General features: G+C 38.7%; 1 protein-coding gene and 1 long non-coding RNA gene across 12 annotated transcripts in view; one reads left to right on the forward strand and one right to left on the reverse strand.

Moving 5' to 3' along the window:
- GCSAML (germinal center associated signaling and motility like) overlaps nt 1-20,497 on the forward strand; it is a 70,633-nt gene extending 50,136 nt beyond the window's left edge. For all 10 annotated transcript variants that reach the window (NM_001281853.1, NM_001281834.2, XM_047447035.1 and 7 more), the window contains 3 exons: nt 6,397-6,446; nt 8,738-8,766; nt 16,950-20,497. In NM_001281853.1, the coding sequence (NP_001268782.1) occupies nt 6,397-6,446; nt 8,738-8,766; nt 16,950-17,189 (319 nt within the window). In that variant the 3' untranslated portion in view covers nt 17,190-20,497. The remainder of the gene's footprint in view (nt 1-6,396; nt 6,447-8,737; nt 8,767-16,949) is intronic.
- LOC102724446 (uncharacterized) overlaps nt 8,446-21,676 on the reverse strand; it is a 75,216-nt gene continuing 61,985 nt past the window's right edge. For both annotated transcript variants that reach the window (NR_188589.1, NR_188590.1), the window contains exon 3: nt 8,446-8,758. This is a non-coding gene — a long non-coding RNA (uncharacterized LOC102724446). The remainder of the gene's footprint in view (nt 8,759-21,676) is intronic.

Consider the following 21,676-nt stretch of genomic DNA (forward strand, 5'->3'; position numbering starts at 1 on the left):
TACTTATATTTGCTGTGGCCTTTATCTGAACTTGTAACTCTATATGTCGTTTGAGCTCTTTATAGTCCACTTCCTTCATAGACCATACGCACTTTAACGTCACTTCTGTTTCACTTGCTAATGTATATCTGTTGCTCAACCCTTGCAAGACACTCAATGGAAAAAAGAAAAAAAATGGAGTGGAAAAATGGTAGATATCTAGATGTTGATATCTTGCCTCAGCTTAGATGAACAGAAACACCCTGCCTTGTTGGTTAACTGTAGGCTTTTCGTATTCTTGCACTAAGCTCTTTTTTAATCATTTCATCTCAATGTCTTGGTTTCTGTCTCTGAGATGGCTTCTTCTTCTTTTCCATGGTATGAAGGGGCAGAGGATTGAGGAGATGAGCCAGGTATCTGTTGGTGATGTGAAATGATGTTTGCAGGCATCAGCCCCCTCCTAAATGTTTGAACGACACTTTCCTGCACAAAGGAGAGAGTTGGCTTCATGAGTCAGCCCTCAGGGACAGTGGAGTTGGCTATGCCTATCTTGTGACCCTTTCTCACGCTCCCCCGACTCCCCCCACTCCCCTTATGGTTTGTAGCTGGAGAGGAGATAGCAATGATTTGGTGATATTATTGAACCAAGGTTCTTTTATCAGCTGCTGTGAATCAGTTCTGTATAGCGTCTTTTAAACTAGACTTTTAATTCAGGCATTCCCATTAGGCATTTAACTTACGCATAAACTAGTCATCTAAACTAGGCTTTTGTTTCATCATGTCTAAAGTGAGATCTGCACTAGATGTCATTCTCTAATATTTTTCTGTTAAAGGAACTGAAGTGTTAACATTTTCAAATACCAGCAAGCCTTTATTACAATCAGACAATAACTAAATGTAGATAAATTAAATGTCGTTAGGGTTTTCTCATGCAAGGAAATTTTAGGAGCACGACTCATGGAATTTTCACTAGTCAGCATGGTGAGGAAGATCTGAACCATTTTACCATTCTAGTCAATTGCAGTCAAATATGTGTTGCATGTGGGCTAAGAAGTCAGTTTCCTTTTTGGCTAATTTCACAGGATGATGTCTATTGAATAAAGTTGGATTTTCTACATCTTCCTGAGTCAATTTTGATTATTGGATTCTTATCAGAATATTATTCATTTAAACATATTTACAGAAAGGACAGTATGAGCTCTTTCAAGTCACTTAACTTTTAAAATGTAGGCTTATAGAGGTATAGTACAGTAAAATTCACCCTTCTCATATATACAGTTTGATAAGTTTAGGAAAAACATACTCAGTCATGTAGTCACCACAATCAAGATACAGAATATTTCCACCACCCTCCCTTTCCCTTCAACCCCTGGCAACCACTGATCTGATTTCTGTTTTGCATTTTTTCCAGGATGTCATAGTATCATTGCTTTTATCTTTATTGCATTCTTATTTTTGCTTTCCTTAGTTTTTTAAATTGTTGCTATTCTAATTGTTTTGAATTCAAAACTCAATAATTTTGTTCTCAACTTTTCTTGTTTAGGAATGGAAGCATATATGAATACAAACTTTCCCTCTAAATAATATTTTACCTGTATCCTATGTGTAATTGAAGGAAATACTATTATTGTCTAATATTTTGCAACTTTTAATTTATTCTTGGACCTGAGTAGTTTTTAAATTTCAAATATTGTTTTATAGTCTTGAATATAATTTAAATTTTATTTGTTACCAGTATCTGTGTGGTCTGTGTTATTTCTGCTTTATAGATTTTATTAAAGTCTTCTTTGTCCTATATGTTAACTTTGAGACAAGTTACTTACATTCTCTAAATTTTGGGTTCTTCATATGCAAAATAGCCTTAAAATACTACAATTTTAGCTTGTGTTTATGGAAAAAGAAATCACTGCCTATTTCATCAGCACGATGGCTGTCTGGCACCAACACTCAATACATACTAGCTGGTATCTGTGCACATCATTATGTGCCTAGATTTTGAAAATATATTATGTAATATTTTGTTCAGAGATCATAATTTTGAAATTTGTCTGCTAGAGAAACATTATTGTGTATTTCAGATATTCACTGTCATTATTTCTCCTGCTTGTTATTAGCTGAGAGAAATTAATCTACTGGTTTATTTGAGTTACCTTTCATGTTTTCTTTTTCTTTCTTTCATATGGATTCTAAATAGTTTGGTGTGTAGCAATTCATGACAGTATTAGGTGTTTGTCGGTTTTAATCTTTATCATGCCATCTTCTGTCCAGCTTTTTTTTTCTGAAATGACGGCCTTGCTAAAATCTTCATCTTCCGCAGTGTGAGAAGGTCCCTGTGACGGGAGATCAAGGACACCCAGGGACATTGCAGGCAGCTTCCTCTCGGATAGGGAGGATAGAGGGAGGTCCTGTTTCATTAGTATTGCCTAGTCTAGTTCCCATATATCTATCTATATTCATTTACTAAGGCTCTTATAGCGAAGTACCATAGACTGGGTGGCTTAAAGAACCAAAATTTTCTTTCTCACAATTGCGGAGACTGGAAGTCTGAGATCAACATGTTGGCAGAGGTGGGCTGTTTTGTGAAGTCTGTCTTTGGCTTGTAGATGACTGTCTTATCCCTGAGTCTTCGTATTGTCTTCCCTCTGTGTTACGACTGTGTTCAAATGTTCTGTTCTTATAAAGACACCAGTCATACTGAAATAAGGCCCAATCTTATGACCTTGTTTTAATTTAATTACCTGTGTTAAGATCCTATCTCCAAATACAGTCACATTCTGAGGTTCTGGGGATTAGGACTTCAACATGTGGATTTTAAGGGGACATAATTTAGTTCATGAGAGATGTCAAGAAAATCTAAGAGGATTCTTAGAAATCCAGGAATTCCTGCCACTGTCTGGACATTTCCAGCGGCCACAGCATGCAGAATTGTTCCACTGTATTTAAGAGAGAGTGGACAAGCAGTAGGTGCTGATAATCCACAGCCCGGACTTAGATAGGTTTGGATTTTGTGGCTGGAGCCTCGGAACGACAGATAACTGAGTGGCTGAATTCCCCATTCACCAGCTGCTTTGTTACATAACTTCACATTTTACAAAGTCCAAATGTGGTTGTGCAGTAATGTTTGCTTTATTTCTTTCCTAAAGACCTCGTAGGTTTTAGATTATCTCAGTACTAAGACATTTGAGAACACATCTTCTTTCCTTGGAGAGTAATACAGTTCTTGGATCGTATCTTTCTCCTCACAACTTAGTGAACGTAATTCCACTCTGCAGCTGTGGAGCTGAGCCACCTTAAGCCGCCTTCCTGATGACTTGGTTTTACATACATTTTCCCCATGAAAGTTTGAAAACTCATTATTTGTTCCCTACCCCCACCCCCAAACATGTATTATTTTCTTTTATACATATGTCTTTATTTTAATTTTTTTTCTCACCTTTCTTGAGCTATGAATGAAAAACAAAAATTGTACATATTGAAGGTACACAATATGATGTTTTGATATGTATATACGGTGAAGTGATTACCACTATAAGTACATTAACAACTTAATATATTTATTATCTCAGACAGTTACCATTATTTTTGTGTGTGATGAGAATGCTTGAGATCCACTCTTTTAGCGAATTTCAAGCACACGTTGTCACTGACTATAGTCACCATATCTCAGTGTTCCATGCCATTTGTTTTTTCCCCTGTGAAGTCGGTTTTCAGATTTAAGTATTTATTTTATGACTTTTCTCTCATTCTACTTTTGTTTCATTTGTTTAGATTTTTTTTATTTTTATTTTTTATTTTTTTGAGACCAAGTCTCACTGTTGTCACTGGGGCTGGAGTACAATGGCGTGATCTCGGCTCACTGCAACCTCCGCCTCCTGGGTTCCAGCAATTCTCCCACCTCAGCCTCCCAAGTAGCTGAGACTACAGGTGCACACCATCATGCCTGGCTAATATACAACTTTTTTGTACAGACAGGGTTTTGCCATGTTGCCCAGTCTGGTCTCAAACTTCTGGGCTCAAGTGATCCATCTGCCTTTGCCTCCCAAAGTGCTGTGATTACAGGCATGAGCCACCACACCTGGCCTACTTTTAAAACTGATAGAGCATACTTGTACATATTTGGGGGGTACATGTGATATTTTGATAAATGTATACAATGTGTAATGATTAAATCAGAGTACTTGTGATATCCATCTACTCAAACACCAATCTTTTATTTGTCTTGGGAACATTACAATTCTTTTCTTCCAGCTATTTTGAAATATACAATAAATTATTATTAACTATAATTTTCCTCACTGTGCTATCAAATACTAGGAGTTATTTGTTCTAGCTAACTATATTTTTGTACCCATTAGCTAACTTCTCTTGATTCTTTCCTCTCCCATTAATGTTGCTTTAATTTAATATAAAAATGTTATTCTCTATAATTGTTTTCCTGGTTTAGGCCAGTCCATTTTCCTTCTCCATTTATTATTGTTAATAACTATTAACAATAATAAACATGTTATTTTTCTGCTTCTAAAATATTGTTTCTGCTTCTTTTGTTTTGCTTTTGTTACGCATTTCATCTTTGTAACTTTGTGCTTAGTACTCTGAATGAAAGTAGATCATTTGTGAGATAAAATTGCGTGTATGCGTGTGTGTTTAAGGAGGGTGCAGACGAGAAACAAGCTATGGCTGTGACTGAACCAAACTGAGGGCGGCTCACCCGGCGCCGCAAAGCCAAAAACATCCACACGGAGGGTTGCAGCAGGACCAAGGAGGCGTCTATTTGCAGGTCACCAAGCAAGGAGAATGGATCCCTCAGGCTTAAGACCTGTCCTCTTCAATGGCTTACAATCAAGGGTTTTTAAAGGCAGGGGTAAATTTCAGGAAAGCAGAATTTACAGGCAAAATTGTAAATAAATACATGGAGATTATAGTTTGTTTGGCCTAAAAAGCTGAGATACCTTGAAGCTGAGGGGGAAGGGTGCCTTACGGGTCATAGGTGGAATGAAAGATTCTTTGATTTGCAATTGTTTAAGGAAGCAAAGCTTTGTCTGAGAATATGGAGCCATGAGTAAGGAACGCTAAGGTCTGGCTCCTGGGCATGACTTTCTCAGGCTCCTCAGGAAGAAATTTAGACAAAGTATGGCGCTGGGAGTTCAGTCCTCAGCGCGCCCGTGCCTGAGGTCCGTGTGCCAGAGGATGCATGTGGTGGAGGTCCAGGTTTCCTCCTGCTTCCCAGGCTCCTTATTTACTGCTCAGGGCTGGCTGGGTGCCTGGAATTTCCCTCGAAGAAACTCACGACTTTCCTTTATTTCCTTGCTTGGCAGTGCCAGACAGACTTCCAAGAGGGGTCTCTGCTCTGTTGCAAAATCCAGGCAGTGATTGTGGCATGTCGTTTTAGAATGCTTCCTCACAAAATGTTTTTCCCTCAGCCCAGGCACATCTCTCTACTGTGTACCTAGCTGTCCTTGAGGCAGGCAGCTGATTACAAGTTATATCCTTTTTTCATATTTCCCCTTAAATTTAGGAGTCTGACTGACAGAGAAATAAAAGGTGATATGCTGGCAACCCCATCTCCTCCCTACCGCCTTTGAATCCTCTTTATTGTGTAAATTGTGTCCCTTTAAAAATAATCTCTATTTCTTTCATCACTGGCCCACACTTATTTTTTTTTTAATTTATTTTTATTTTTATTTTTGAGATGGAGACTCGCTCTGTCACCAGGCTGGAGTGCAGTGAAATGATCTCTGCTCGCTGCAACCTCTGCCTCCCGGGTTCAAGCAATTCCCCTGCCTCAGCCTCCCGAGTAGTTGGGACTACAAGTGCATGCCACCGTACCCAGCTCATTTTTTTTTTTTTTTTGTATTTTAGTAGAGACGGGGTCTCACCGTGTTGGCCAGGAAGGTCTCGATCTCCTAACCTCGTGATCTGCCCGCCTTGGCCTCCCAAAGTGCTGGGATCACAGGCATAAGCCATCCCACCCGGCCACCACACTTATTAATGTCTATTACTGTAAGGTTTTAGTTAGAATTCGTAAGACCCTCTCATTTGTCTTTAAGGATTTATACACCCTCATCAAGAATAGCAGAAAAATAAATTTCAAAACTTTCCATTTTCTCTCTTGAATTGTCCTAAATTTCATTATATTATATGTATGTTTTCCATGCGTGTAATAATATATGTAGTCTGATAAGCTAATAATTCTCTTAGCTTCATGCTATATGGAGCTTTGTTTTCCACTTTTCATTGTCTAGATTTTTGTGGTTTTTCAAAAAAGGCTGGAGTAAGCAGCCTTTTAATTGTATTTAATATTTGCATGGAAAATCTAACAATGGCCTTAGGTTAAGGGCAACCAAATGCTTTTTTTGAAAGGCATTTTCAGCTTTGGAGAACCTGGAGTATCTCATGTTACTATCTCTTTCCTTGTAGGCAGGAAATGACTACATTTGAAAGAAAACTTCAAGATCAAGATAAGAAAAGTAAGTCATGGCTGTATAATATTTTTCATAGTAGGGAAGTGCAAATTTAAGCATCCAATTAGCAGACACTCTTGAGCCTATTGTAATAACAGATTGGAGAAGAGGCTGCTTGGAGTTCTTACTCTTTCATAAAACTGATCACATCATTCTTGGTATTAAAGTAATATTTGTATATTATTTTTTGAGTGACATTTAAGAAACTTCTGTGGAAAGAAGTTAACCAAAATTCTACTGTTTTTAATTTGTATATTGGTGTTCTAAAATAGGGCCTTTGAATATTAGCAGGCGATAAGAAGTGTATTTTTTTTTTTGAGATGGAGTCCCACCCTATCGCCCAGGCTGGAGTGCAGTGTCACAATCTCGGCTCACTGTAACCCCCCGCCTTCCGGGTTCAAGTGATTTTCCTGCCTCAGCCTCCTGAGTAGCAGGGATTACAGGGAGACACCACCACACCCAGCTAATCTTTGTATTTTTAGTAGAGACAGGGTTTCACCATGTTGGCCAGGCTGGTTTCAAACTCCTGACCTCGTGATCCACCTGCCTCAGCCTCCGAAAGTGCTGGGATTACAGGCGTGAGCCACCATGCCCGGCCCCTAAAAAGTGTATTATTTTGTTCTCAAGAAGTTGAAAGAAGCTGGTGGTGCACTCCTGTAGTCCCAGCTACTTGGGAGGCTGAAGTAGAAGGATTCCTTGAGGCCAGAAATTAAGAGTCCAGCCTGAGCAATGTAGCAAGAGCCTGTCTTAAAAAAAAAAAAAAAAAAGAATTTGCTCTGTTTGCCATAGTATCTAGGTATAGTAATCATGTAATTACTCAAAATCGACAGTTATGAATAACAGGGCTCAGCCCCTGTGGACAAGTATACCTAAAGGAAACTCTCTGTTTATTTTTACCCCTAACTTTATTGAGGTATAACTGACAAATAAAAATGGCCTATATTCAAGGTGTGCAATGTGATGATTTGATATATGTATACATTGTGTAATGATTACTACATCAAATTAATATATCCATCACTATACATAGCTACCATCTTGTATGAATGTGGGGACATAAGGGCACTTGAGATCTATTCCCTTAGCAAATTTCAAATGAAGAATACTACGTTGCTAACTAACAAGCAATGGGGATGGATTTCCTATTCAATCCGTGGTGCTGGGTTAACTGGCTAGCCATATGGAGAGGATAGAAACTGGACCCCTTCCTTACGCCATATACAAAAATTAACTCAAGATGGATTAAAGACCCAAACGTAAAACCCAAAATTATAAAAACCCTGTAAAACAACCTAGGCAATACCATTCAGAACATAGGAATGAGCAAATATTTCATGATCTAGACATCAAAAGCAATTGTAAGAAAAGCAGAAATGGACAAATGAGATCTAATTAAACTAAAGTATTTCTGCACAGCAAAAATAACTAACAAGAGTGAACAGACGGCTGGGCCCAGTGGCTCATGCCTGTAATCCCAGCACTTTGGGAGGCCGAGGTGGGCAGATCACGAGGTCAGGAGATTGAGACCATCCTGGCTAACACGGTGAAACCCCGTCTCTACTAAAAATGCAAAAATTAGCTGGGCATGGTGGCATGTGCCTGTAGTCCCAGCTACTTGGGAGGCTGAGGCAGGAGAATCGCTTGAACCCAGGAGGCGGAGGTTGCAGTGAGCCGAGATAGCACCATTGCACTCCAGTCTGGGCGACAGAGCGAGAATCTGTCTAAAAAAAAAAAAAAAATTGGTAGTCAATTTCAGATTCACACGTATGTAAATTGCTTCAGCATTCACAGATGGAATCAACATGAATCTGCATATTTGTGTGTAACTTGAAATAGTTACTCGTGTTATTTCTGTACCTATCTCTATAGCAAGTGTTCATTTTAAAGAATTGTATGATTTTCCTGTGATAGTTACATAAAATTTATATCTTAAATTTGCAGCTATAATCATTCTTTCTTTATGCTTATCATATTGCATTGACATAGCACATTTATGAACATTTTATTACCAAATTTTGAAATCCATCTTATTCAGTACATTAATGTGCTTTATTTACAGAAAGAACATACTATTGATGCTATCTCAGAACACATGTTCTTTCTTGATTTTTTCACTCAGTCTTGAGAACTTCAGTTATAAGATGGGGCAATGTCATGTCAGATGTTTAGATAATAGGCCTCTGCAGTTTTATGACTTCTACATTCTGTTTTTTTCACCTTTTCCTTCAATCTGTGATGGGGCAAAAGTCTCACAGTGCTTTCCTTTCTTTCTTTTTTTTTTTTTTTTAATTCTCCAGGCCAAGAAGTTTCATCCACTTCTAATCAGGTAAGTAGAAAACAAAAAGCAAGACAAAAGAAAAACACAAACTTTTATTATGTTTGTCTGATAAATGCCAAAATACAGATGATTTATTCAAGAGTAGCATCTGTCTTCCTTTATTTGTAATTTCTAAATGTACTTTTAGAAATCATTCATATTTTAAATAATTTATATGGCAATTGTAATGCAGAAATGAAAGGAAATAAAAAACCAAAAAGTATTTCAACTGATCGAGATGAGTAGCAAGTTCTTACCGTTTTGGCCTCAATTCTGCTGAAGTCTAATTTTATTTATTTATTTATTTTTTGAGACAGAGTCACACTCTGTCATCCAGGCTGGGGTGCAGTGGCACGATCTCGGCTCACTGCAACCTCCACCTCCTGGGTTCAAGTGATTCTGGTGCCTCAGCCTCCCAGGTAGCTGGCTTTACAGGTGTGCACCACCACACCTGGCTAATTTTTTATTTTTAGTAGAGACAGGGTTTCACTATGTTGGCCAGGCTAGTCTCGAACTCCTGGCCTCAAGTGAATCCACTGGCCTCAGCCTCCCAAAGTGCAGGGGTAACAGGCATTAGTCACTGTGTCCAGCCTATTATTTTAATTTTCAAAGCTATTATAACAAAAACAGATGAAATTAAGTAAATTTATACTTAAAAACTGACCACCATAAAACATTAATTATTTTTAGCTTTCCACATTCCCTTTCAATCCTTATATCCAGGAATTAGCATTTGCATTGACAAGTATGGTGGAAACTATAACATATGGAAAAAAGTTTATTCCTTTTGATACTACCTCATAAAAATTTTGTTGATTTAATTAGTATATATTAATGTTTTTATTTTTTCTTTCCTTCACTGTCTATGCAATTGAAAATGTGCATAAACTCAATTTTTTCTTAGTATTTTATCTTATAAAAATTATAATGAATAATTACTTATTCATTACTTACTGAGGTCTGATTGTTGCAAACATTGCATCTCAGTGTGTGTGAACGAAAGTATAGAAGTGCTTTTCCCTGGATAGTTAGAGGCATAATAGCATCCTTCTTTTCTCTTTTATTATTCAAGTAAAATTAAAGCACAATTAGTAGAAGCTTGGAGTGCAGTTTATGCTGCTATAATGAGGTCTCTAAGACACCAGGGCTTGGAGCAAGGGCTTTTTTTTTTCTAGAAACATTTCTTACATTATATATATTTTATTATTTATTTATTTATTTATTTTTACTTTAAGTTCTGGGATACATGTGCTGAATGGGCAGGTCTGTTACATAGGAATACATGTGCCACGGTGCTTTGCTGAACCTATCAGCCCTTCATCTAGGGTTTAAACCCCCCATGCATTAGGTATTTGTTCTAATGCTCTCCCTCCCCTTGCCCCCCACACCCCAACAGGCCCGGGTGTGTGATGTTCCCCTCCCTGTGCCCATGTGTTCTCATTGTTCAACTTCCACTTATGAGTGGGAACATGCAGTGTGTGGTTTTCTGTTCCTGTGTTAGTTTGCTGAGAATGATGGTTTCCAGCTTCATCCATGTCCCTGCAAAGACCATAAACTTATTCTTTTTTATGGCTGCATAGTATTCCATGATGTATTTGTGGCACATTTTCTTTATCCAGTCTAACATTGATGGGCAGTTGAGTTGGTTCCAAGTCTTTGCTATTGTGAATAGTGCTGCAATAAAAATGCAAGTGCATGTGTCTTTATAGTAGAACGATTTATAATCCTTTGGGTATATACCCAGTAATGGGATTGCTGGGTCAAGTGGTATTTCTAGTTCTAGATCCTTGAGGAATTGCCACACTGTCTTCCTCAATGGTTGAACTAGTTTATACTCCCACCAACAGTGTAAAAGCGTTCCTATTTCTCCACATCCTCTCCAGCATCTGTTGTTTCCTGATTTTTAATGATCACCATTCTAACTGGCATGAGATGGTATCTCATTGTGGTTTTGATTTTCATTTCTCTAATGACTGGTGATGATTAGCTTTTTTTTCTTATGTTTTTTGGCTGCATAAATGTCTTCTTTTGAGAAGTGTCTGTTCATATCCTTCACCCACTTTTTGATGGGGTTGTTTTTTTCTTGTAAATTTGTTTAAGTTCTTTGTAGATTCTGGATATTAGCTCTTTGTCAGATGGATAGATTGCAAAATTTTTCTCCCATTCTGTAGATTGCCTGTTCACTCTGATGATAGTTCCTTTTGCCATGCAGAAGCCCTTTAGTTTAATTTGATCCCATTTGTCAATTTTGGCTTCTGTTGCAATTGCTTTTGGTGTTTTAGTCAAGAAGTCTTTGCCCATGCCTATGTCCTGAATGGTATTGCCCAAGTTTTCTTCTAGGGTTTTTATGGTTTTAGGTCCTACATTTAAATCTTTAATCCAACTTGAGTTAATTTTTGTATAAGGTGTAAGGAAGGGGTCCAGTTTCAGTTTTCTGCATATGGCTAGCCAGTTTTCCTAACATCATTTATTAAATAGTGAATCATTTCCCCATTGCTTGCTTTTCTCAGGTTTGTCAAAGATCAGATGGTTGTAGCTGTGTGGTGTCATTTCTGAGGCCTCTGTTCTGTTCCATTGGTCTATATATCTGTTTTGGTAGCAGTACCATGCTGTTTTGGTTACTGTAGCCTTGTAGTATAGTTTGAAGTCAGGTAGCGTGATGCCTCCAGCTTTGTTCTTTTTGCTTAGGATTGTCTTGGCTATATGGGCACTTTTTTGTTTCCATATGAAATTTAAAGAAGCTTTTTTTCTAATTATGTGAAGAAAGACAATGGTAGCTTGATGGGAATAGCATTGAATCTATAAATTACTTTGGGCAGTATGGCCATTTTCACAATATTGATTCTTCCTATCCATGAGCATGGAGTGTTTTTCCATTTGTTTGTGTCCTCTTTTATTTCCTTGAGCAGTGGTTTTTAGTTTCCTTGAAGAGGTGCTTTACGTCCCTTGTAAGTTGTATTCCTAGGTATTTTATTCTCTTTGTATTGTGAATACAAAGAGAATAAAACACAATTTGCAATTGTGAATGGGAGTCCACTCATGATTTGGCTCTCTTTGTCTGTTATTGGTGTAGAGGAATGCTTGTGAATTTTGCACATTGATTTTGTATCCTGAGACTTTGCTGAAGTTGCTTATTAGGTTAAGGAGTTTTTGGGCTGAGACGATGTGATTTTCTAAACATACAATCACGTCATCTGCAAACAGAGACAATGTGACTTTTTCTCTTCCTATTTGAATACCCTTTATTTCTTTCTCTTGCCTGATTGCCCTGGTCAGAACTCCCAATACTATGTTGAATAGGAGTGGAGAGAGAGGGCATACTTTTCTTGTGCTGGTTTTCAAAGGGAATGCTTCCAACTTTTGCCCATTCAGTATGATGTTGACTGTAGGTTTGCCATAAATAGCTCTTATTATTTTGAGATAGGTTTGATCAGTACCTAGTTTATTGAGTGTTCTTAGCATGAAGGGGTGTTAAATTTTATCGAAGGCCTTTTCTGCATCTATTGAGATATTCATGTGGTTTTTGTCATTGGTTCTTTCTGTTTAATAGATTACGTTTATTGATTTGTGTATGTTGAACCAGTCTTGCATCCCAGGGATGGAGCCGACTTGATCGTGGTGGATATGCTTTTTAATGTGCTGCTGGATTTGGTTTTCCAGTGTTTTATTGAGGATGTTCGCATTGATGTTCATCAGGGATATTGGCCTGAAATTTTCTATTTTTGTTTTGTCTCTGGCAAGTTTTCATATCAGGGTGATGCTGGCCTCATAAAATGAGTTAGGGAGGAGTCCCTATTCTTCTATTGTTTGGAATAGTTTGAGAAGGAATGGTACCAGCTCCTCTTTGTATCTCTGGTAGAATTCAGCTGTGAATCCATCTAGTCATGGGCTTTTTTTGGTTGGTAGGCTAATTAATTACTGCTTCAGTTTCAGAACTTGTTATTGGTCCATTCAGGGATTCAACTTCTTCCTGGTTTAGTCTTGGAAGGTGTGTGTGTCCAGGAATTTATCCATTTCTTCTAGATTTTCTAGTTTATTTGTGTAGAAATGTTTATAGTATTCTCTGATGGTAGTTTGTATTTCTGTGGAATCAGTGGTAGTCTCCCCTCTATTATTTTTTAGTGTGTCTATTTGATTCTTCTGTCTTTCTTCATTATTAGTCTGGCTAGTGGTCTATCTGTTTTGTTAATCTTTTCAAAAAAACCAGCTCCTGGATTTATTGATTTTTTGAAGGGTTTTTCATGTCTCTATCTCCTTCAGTTCTGCTCTGATCTTAGTTATTTCTTGTCTTCTGCTAGCTTTTGAATTTGTTTGCTGTTGCTTCTCTAGTTTTTTAAATTGTGATGTTAGGGTATTGATTTTAGATCTTTCCCGCTTTCTTCTGTTTGCATTTAGTGCTATAAATTTCCCTCTAAACACTGCTTTAGCTGTGTCCCAGAGGTTCTGGTTTGTTGTGTCTTTGTTCTCATTGGTTTCAAAGAACATCTTTATTTCTGCCTACATTTTATTATTTACCCAGTAGTCATTCAGGAGCAGGTTGTTCAGTTTCCATGTAGTTTTGCGGTTTTGAGTGAGTTTCTTAATCCTGAGTTCTAATTTGATTTGCACTGTGGTCTGAGAGACTTTTTGTTATGATTTCTGTTCTTTTGCATTTGCTGAGGAGTGTTTTACTTCCAAATATGTGGTTGATTTTAGGATAAGTGCTATTTCGTGCTGAGAAGAATATATATTTTGTTGATTTGGGGTGGAGAGATCTGTAGATGTTTATTTGGTCCACTTGGTCCAGAGCTGAGTTCAAGTCCTGAATATCCTTGTTAATCTTCTGTCTCGTTGATCTGTCTAATATTGACAGTGGGGTGTTAAAATCTCCCACTATTGTTGTGTTGGAGTCTGAGTCTCTTTTTAGGTCTCTAAAGACTTGCTTTATGAATCTGGGTGCTCCTGTATTCGGTGCATATATATTTAGGATAGTTAGCTCTTCTTGTTGCATTAATCCCTTTACCGTTATGTAATGGCCTTCTTTGTCTCTTTTGATCTTTGTTGGTTTAAAGTCTGTTTTATCAGATTGCACCACCTGCTCTTTTTTGCTTTCCATTTGCTTCGTAAATCTTCCTCCATCCCTTTATTTTGAGTGTATGTGTGTCTCTGCATGTGAGATGGGTCTCCTGAATACAGCACACTGATGGATCTTGAATCTTTATCCAATTTGCCAGTCTGTGTCTTTTAATTGGGCCATTTAGCCCATTTACATTTAAGTTTAATATTGTTATGTGTGAATTTGATCCTGTCCTTATGATGCTAGCTGGTTATTTTGCTCATTAGTTGAGCAGTTTCTTCATAGTGTCAATGGACTTTACATTTTGGTTTGTTTTTGCAGTGGGTGGTACTGGTTTTTCCTTTGTATATTTAGTGCTTCCTTCAGGAGTTCTTGTAAGGCAGGCCTCATGGTGACAAAATCCCTCAGTATTTCCTTCTCTGTAAAGGATTTTATTTCTCCTTCACTTATGAAGCTTAGTTTAGCTAGATATGAAATTCTGGGTTGAAAATTCTTGTCTTTAAGAATGTTGAATATTGGCCCCCACTCTCTTCTGGCTTGTAGGGTTTCTGCAGAGAGATCCGCCATTAGTCTGATGGGCTTCCCTTTGTGGGTAACCCAACCTTTCTTTCTGGTTGTCCTTAACATTTTTTCCTTCATTTCAACGTCGGTGAATCTGATGATTATGTGTCTTGGGGTTGCTCTTCTCAGGAGTATCTTTGTGATGTTCTCTGTACTTTCTGAATTACAATGTTGGCCTGTCTTGCCAGGTTGGGGAAATTCTCCTGGATAATATCCTGAAGTGTGTTTTCCAACTTGATTCCATTCTCCCCGTCACTTTCAGGTACACCAATCAAATGTAGGTTTGATCTTTGTTCACATAGTCCCATATTTCTTGGAGGCTTTGTTTGTTCCTTTTCATTTTTTTTTCTCTAACATTGTCTTCATGCTTTATTTCATTAAGTTGATCTTCTATGTCTGACATCCTTTCTTCTGCCCGATCAATTTGGCTATTGATACTTGTGTATGCTTCACGAAGTTTTCGTGCTATGTTTTTCAGCTCCATCAGGTCATTTATGTTTTTCTCTAATCTAGTTATTCTAGTTAGCAATTCCTGTAACCTTTTTTCAAGGTTCTTAGCTTCCTTGCATTGGCTTGGAACATGCTCCTTTAGATCGGAAGAGTTTATTACCCACCTTCTGAAGCCCACCTCTGTCAATTTGACATACTCATTTTCCGTCCAGTTTTGTTCCCTTGCTGGCGAGGAGTTGTGATCTTTTGGAGGAGAAGAGGCATTCTGGTATTTGGAATTTTCAGCCTTTTTGAGCTGCTTTTTCTTCATCTTTGTGGATTTATCTACCTTTGGTCTTTGCTCTTGGTGACCTTTGTATGGAGTTTTTGCGTGGTTGTCCTTTTTGTTGATGTTGACGCTATTGCTTTCTGTTTGTTAGTTTTCCTTCTAACAACCAGGCCCGTATTCTGCAGGTCTGCTGGAGTTTGCTGGGGATCCACTCCAGATTCTGTTTGCATGTGTATTACCAGTGGAGACTGCAGAACAGCAAAGATTGCTGCCTACTCCTTCCTCTGGAAGCTTTGTCCCAGCAGGGCACCTGCCAGATGCCAGCTGGAGCTCTCTTGTATGAGGTGTCTGTCGATCCCTGTTGGGAGGTGTTTCCTTGTCAGGAGGCATGAGGGTCAGCGACCCACTTGAGGAGGCCATCTTTCCCTTAGCAGTGCTTGAGCACTGTGCTGGGAGATCTGCTGCTCTCTTCAGAGCCAACAGGTAGGCAGGAATGTTTAAGTCCGTTGAAGCTGCACCCACAGCCTTTCCTTCTGTAAGCCCCTGACTGGGGCTGCTGCCTTTCTTTCAGAGATGCCCTGCACAGAGAGGAGAAATATAGAGAGGCAGTCTGGCCACAGTGGCTTTGTGGTGTTGGAGTGGGCTCAGTCCAGCCCAAATTCCCCTGCGGCTTTGTTTACACTGTGAGGGGAAAACTGCCTACTCAAGCCTCAGTAATGGCAGATGCCCCTTCCCCCACCAAGCTCGAATGTCCCAGGTCGACTTCAGACTGCTGTGCTGGCAGCAAGAATTTCAAGCCAGAGGATCTTAGCTTGCTGGGCTCCATGGTGGTGGGACCCACTGAGCAAGACCACTTGGCTCCCTGGCTTCAGCCCCTTTTCCAGGGGAGTAAACAGTTCTTTCTCATTGGTGTTCCAGGCACCACTGAGGTATGAAAAAAACTCCTGCAGCTAGCTTGGTGTCTGCTCAAATGGCCACTCAGTTTTGTGCTTGAAACCCAGTTTTATGCTTGAAACCCAGGGCCCTTGTGGTGTAGGCACCCAAAGGAATCTCCTGGTCTGTGGGTTGCAAAGACCGTGGGAAAAGTGTAGTGTCTGGGCTGGATAGCACTGTCCCTCAAGGTATGGTCCTTCATGGCTTCCCTTGGCTAAGGGAGGGAGTTCCCCAATCCCTTGCACTTCCTGTGTGAGGTGATGCCCCACCCTGCTTCTGTTCACCCTCTGTGGGCTACACTCACTGTCTAACCAGTCCCAATGAGATGAACTGGGTACCTCAGTTGGAAATGCAGAAATCACCCGCCTTCTCTATTGGTCTTGCTGGGAGCTGCAGACTGGAGCTGTTCCTATTCAGCTTTGTTCTTTTTGCTTAGGATTGTCTTGGCTAAACAGGCTCTTTTTTGGTTCCATATGGAATTTAAAGTAGTTTTTTCTAGTTCTGCGAAGAAAGTCGGGGAGCTTGATGGAAATAGCATTGAATCTATAAATTACTTTGGGCAGTATTTCCATTTTTATGATATTGCTTCTTCCTATCCTTGAACATGGAATATTTTTCCATTTGTTTGTTTCCTCTCTTATTTCCTTGAGCAGTGGTTTTTAATTCTCCTTGAAGAGGTCCTTCACTTCCCTTGTAAGTTGCATTCCTAGGTATTTTATTCTCTTTGTAGCAATTGTAAATGGGAGTTCACTCATGATTTGGCTCTCTGCTTGTCTATTATTGGTGTACAGGAATGCTTGGGTTTTGGATACCTTAAGTGTAAGAGCACCATCAGGTGTATAAAGAAGAAGGGAAGGTAGTACACTGAGTTCAATTTATGAATGACCGTGGATCCTTGATTTCTTTTCTCTTTGTGCTTGGCAGGAAAACGAGAATGGCAGTGGTTCTGAAGAAGTGTGCTACACTGTCATTAATCACATCCCCCATCAGAGATCCTCCCTGAGCTCCAATGATGATGGCTATGAGAACATTGACTCCCTCACAAGGAAAGTGAGACAGTTTAGAGAAAGGTCAGAGACAGAATATGCCCTTCTTAGGACTTCTGTTAGTAGGCCTTGTTCCTGCACCCATGAGCATGATTATGAAGTTGTGTTTCCACACTAAAATCCTCAAGCTGCTTTATCACCTTCCAGCAATGAAGACAATGCAGAATAGCAGACTCTGGCGAAGTTGTTCACCCTGAGCAGTGCATGAAACATTCCTTTCTGGCTAAAGTTTAGAAATATTATCTTATTATATATCCTTAGGCAACTCTGATATGTGGCATCTCTGTGGCTTAGGTGAAATCATAGAAATTGACACAATGACCTAAAATATTCTATGTGTTTTTGCTTGTAAAGTTTGAGGACATGGAGGTGATAAAAAAAACTTTCTTAGGACAATAATGTAAAATGAAAATAAATTTCTAATCCCCCTGACTAACTGAATGGACCCTCTTCTAGGCCAAAGAGACCTCAGATGAACCTGAAAGACTGAATTCTGGCCATGATAGGAAGGGAGGTGAGACACACCTTGTTATACCCCTTCCCTTTTGGAGTTTATGCACAAGTGACCAGGATGAGTCATAAGACTGATGAAATAGACTGATTGTGGCAATAAGAGTCCCAATTCCAACCTGACTCTGGTGTAGATCACACACTGTCTGAGGGATTCCATCTATGAGACTTTGTCTACATAACAGAGACCTTGGTTTCCACAACCCCTTTATTTTAGCTAAAGCATTCTTTTCTACTGACTTCTTAAGTCTTTAGACAAAGCTTAACTCTTTCAACCAATTGCCAATCAGACAAACTTTGAATCTACCTATGACCTGTAAGCTCTCTCCTGCTTCAAGATCTTGCCTCTTTAAGCTGAACCGATGTGCACTTTCCATTTAATGATTTATGTCTTTGCTTGTAACTCCTGTCTCCCTAAAATGTATAAAAGTAAACGGTGACCTGACCACCTCAGGCACACTTTCTCAGGACCTCCTGAGAGTGTATCCCAGGCCATGGTAAGTCATGTTGGCTCAGAATCAACCTCTTTAAATATTTTACAGAATTTGGGTTTTGGTTACCAATAAGTCTCCACAAATATATGTCCAAGAATCTTCAATTCCAAGCCTGCTCACCAAATTTCAAATGCCAACATCTCCCCATCCAATTACCTATTTCATCTTTGAGGTGTAATCTACTCAATAAACTGTGTAAGACCAGTGACCAGACCCTTTGCTAACCTGACATTTACTTCAATTTTTCTTTTTCTATGTACTGGATATTTTTGCATATAAACTTGCAGTAATAGTTCAAAAATTAATAGTTTTTGACATTGGCTTTTCTGAGAAGAGAAATTGAAAGTGTCACAAAATAAAAAAAGATGAAATGAAGCATATATAATTGTCAATTTTTTCAATTTTCTAGCCAACAGAGAATCGAAGGATTCTGTTCAAATATTAGTAAAAATTGAAAATAAACTTGTGCTTATATTTTGTTTGCAACACACTAGTTAATTTAACCTGTGACTAGTTATCTCTACCGAAGGTGGATGTGTAGTTTCTGGTTTTAAAATTCAAGCAAACTGGAAAATAATCCATCTAATTATGCTTTCTTTCCCAAGAAGTTTTTTAATGATATGCCAGCTTCCTAATTTGGAGACAAAAGCCTTAATTGACAATGCATTCATTATATATTTTTTTGTATAGTTACAGTATACGAGTTGAGTATCCCTTAGATGAGATGCTTGGGACCAGAAGTGTTTTGGATTTCAGATTTATTTTTGGATTTTGGAATATTTCCATACATATAATGAGAGAGTTGGAAAATGGGATTCAAGTCTAATCATAAAATTCACTTATGTTTGATATACACCTTATCTGAATAGCCTGAAGGTAATTTTATACAATATTTTAAATAATTTTATGCCTGAAACAGAGTTTGCGCACATTGGACCATCAGAAAGCAGAAGTGTCACTATTTCAAGTCAGTGCTCAAAAAGTTTCAGATGTTAAGCTGGTGATGCAGTTCATGCCAGTGATCCGAGTACTTTGGGAAGCCAAGACAGGTGGATCTCTTGAGCCCAGGAGTTTGAGGCCAGACTGCACAACACAGTGAGACCTCGTTTCTACAAATAATTAAAAAATTAGCCAGGTGTGGTGGTGCACACCTGTAGTCCCAGGTACTCAGGAGGCTGAGGTAGTAGGATTGTTTGAGACTGGGAGGTTGAGGCTGAACTGAGCCAGGATCTTGCCACCACATTCCAGCTTGGGCAACAGAGTGAGACCCTGTCTCAAAAAAAAAAAAAGTTTCAGATTTTGGAGCATTTCAGATCTTCAGATTAGGGATTTTCAACCTGTACTGACCTTTTAGTCATTGACAAGCATTAATCAATAGGTGGACTCCAGATAACTCATTTGCTGTATACACATTTTGCCTCTCTATTCAACGAATTCTTATGCCCTCTTGTGGTGATTTTAATGTGCGGAAGGGAAACAATAGAAATTTTGCAATTCTAGAAAAGTCATTCTGTCAAAATATGTCAGTCCTGTAGATATTAGCCAATTTTAGGAAAATGACAAAATTTTTTACTTTTCGTCTGCCTTTGTAGCTGTTTTATGATATAAATACCTTATTTGTAATAAAATTAATTTTAATTTGAGTAACAATCTGGAATTATCAGAGAAGGGGCAAGCAATAGGTTAATAAACAGTATTGATTGGTAGAAGGAACGTTGAAATCCAAGAGCATCAATGTCTTCTGGTGGTTCACCATAAGCCACAGCAGATGTCTTAATCTTTCCGAGATCTAGTTTTTCAGCAAAGCAGGATTTAAGAAATGTAACTATCTTATGTGGTTATGAAGAACAATAGAATCATTGCTGTATAAGTGCTTTTTAACCTGTAAATTTTGTGAAGCTTATCTTTTATGCATATAAATATTTGAACATTTTACATTGTTTATATTTTTAATCAGTTTTACTCAAGTGTGATTATATACAAGAAAATGTAACCACTGTAAGGGTAGAGTTATAAGAATTTTGTCAAATGTATTCACCCATGTAGTCACCTCCTTATGAAGAGACAGAACACGTACATCCTCCCAGAAAGTTCCACAGTGCTCCTTTTCCCTGAGTTTCACCAGTCCTGGCAACCAATGATCTGCTTCGTATAATTATAACTGTTCTAGATATTTGTAGCAATGTACCCTTTCCATATTTATTTTGTGTGTGTAAGGCTTCTTTTAGTCATTATAATATTTTTGAGATTCATCTATGTTTAATGTTCTATCAGTAGTTGTACATCTTACTTGTCTCAGCATATCACCATATAGATATACTATAATTTGTTAATCTAATCACTGATGGATATGTAGGATATTTAAGTTTTTGACATTATGAATAAAGTGGCTATAAATGAATAAAGCGACTACAAATTTGAATATCTAGGTGTGTTAGTTTACTGGTGCTACCATAACAAAGGACCACAGAGTGAGTGGCTTAAATAATAAACATTTATTTTCTCACAATTCTGAAGGTTAGAAGTCCAAGGTCAAGGTGTTGGCAGAGCGGGTCTTTTAAGGGAAAAAGCCTAAAAACTTTGAGTTGGTTTCTCTATGGGAAAATCTTTTCAATGCATCTCTCCTAGCTTCTGGGGGTATGCTGACAATCTCTGGCATTTCCACATTTATTGATAAAATGGATACATGCCAAGGGATGAGAAATACATGTGACAATAATCAGGGGTCTTCTACCTCAGTGGAATTTCTAGGGTCAAGTGGTGTAAAGCATGTTGAGATTTCCTTCTGTGATGAAGAATAAATTGTTGTACCTCGTTTCCTTTATGCCCAGAAAAGCAGCATAATGTCTAGTGGCCCCTTTGGATCTTGGCAGCAGCGTATTCTTCATTTGGGTGTGTTACTCTAGCTCATTGACTAAGAAACTTGCTAGCTTTGAGTGGGGACTCAGAATAAGAGCAGGCTCTGCAACAGGTCCAGGCTGCTGTGCAAGCTGTTTTGCTACTTGGGCCGTAGGATCCAGCAGCTCTAATGGTTCTTGAGGTGTCAGTGGCAGACAGGGATTCTGTTTAGGGCCAGGCCCTTTGCCAGGGCCCTCTAGGTGAATCACAGCGAAGACTCTTAGAATTTTGGAGCAAAGCCCTGCCATTTCTTCAGACACCTAAGCTTCTTTTGAAAACTGCATTGGGCTTGCTCCTGGGCCTTATTAAAGATTGAATGCTTAACCATGGGCCACCAAGTTACCATGTGACCTGAGCTGCCCCTCATAAAGGGGATGTAGTCTGACCTGTTAAGCTATAAAACGGGGTATGTGCAGAGCACTTCATTGTAAAATTGAAAGCATACATATGAGATCAGGCTCAAGCAGGTCCTGAAAACACTAGTAAATTACATAAAGAAGTGACCCAAATGTCCGTGGTCCCCACTCATGCTACACTACCTTACACTGATGGCCTCATGGTGAGTTTCCTATGGTCAATCAACAGGCCCTACAGAAACCTTGGGCCTGGTTCATAGACGGTTTTGCACAATATTCGGGCACTGCCAAAAAATGAACAGCTGCAGCACCACGGCCCTTTCTGGGACATCCATGAATAATAGTGG

This window comes from Homo sapiens, chromosome 1 (genome assembly GCF_000001405.40).
Source record: "Homo sapiens chromosome 1, GRCh38.p14 Primary Assembly".
Classification (NCBI taxonomy): domain Eukaryota; kingdom Metazoa; phylum Chordata; class Mammalia; order Primates; family Hominidae; genus Homo; species Homo sapiens.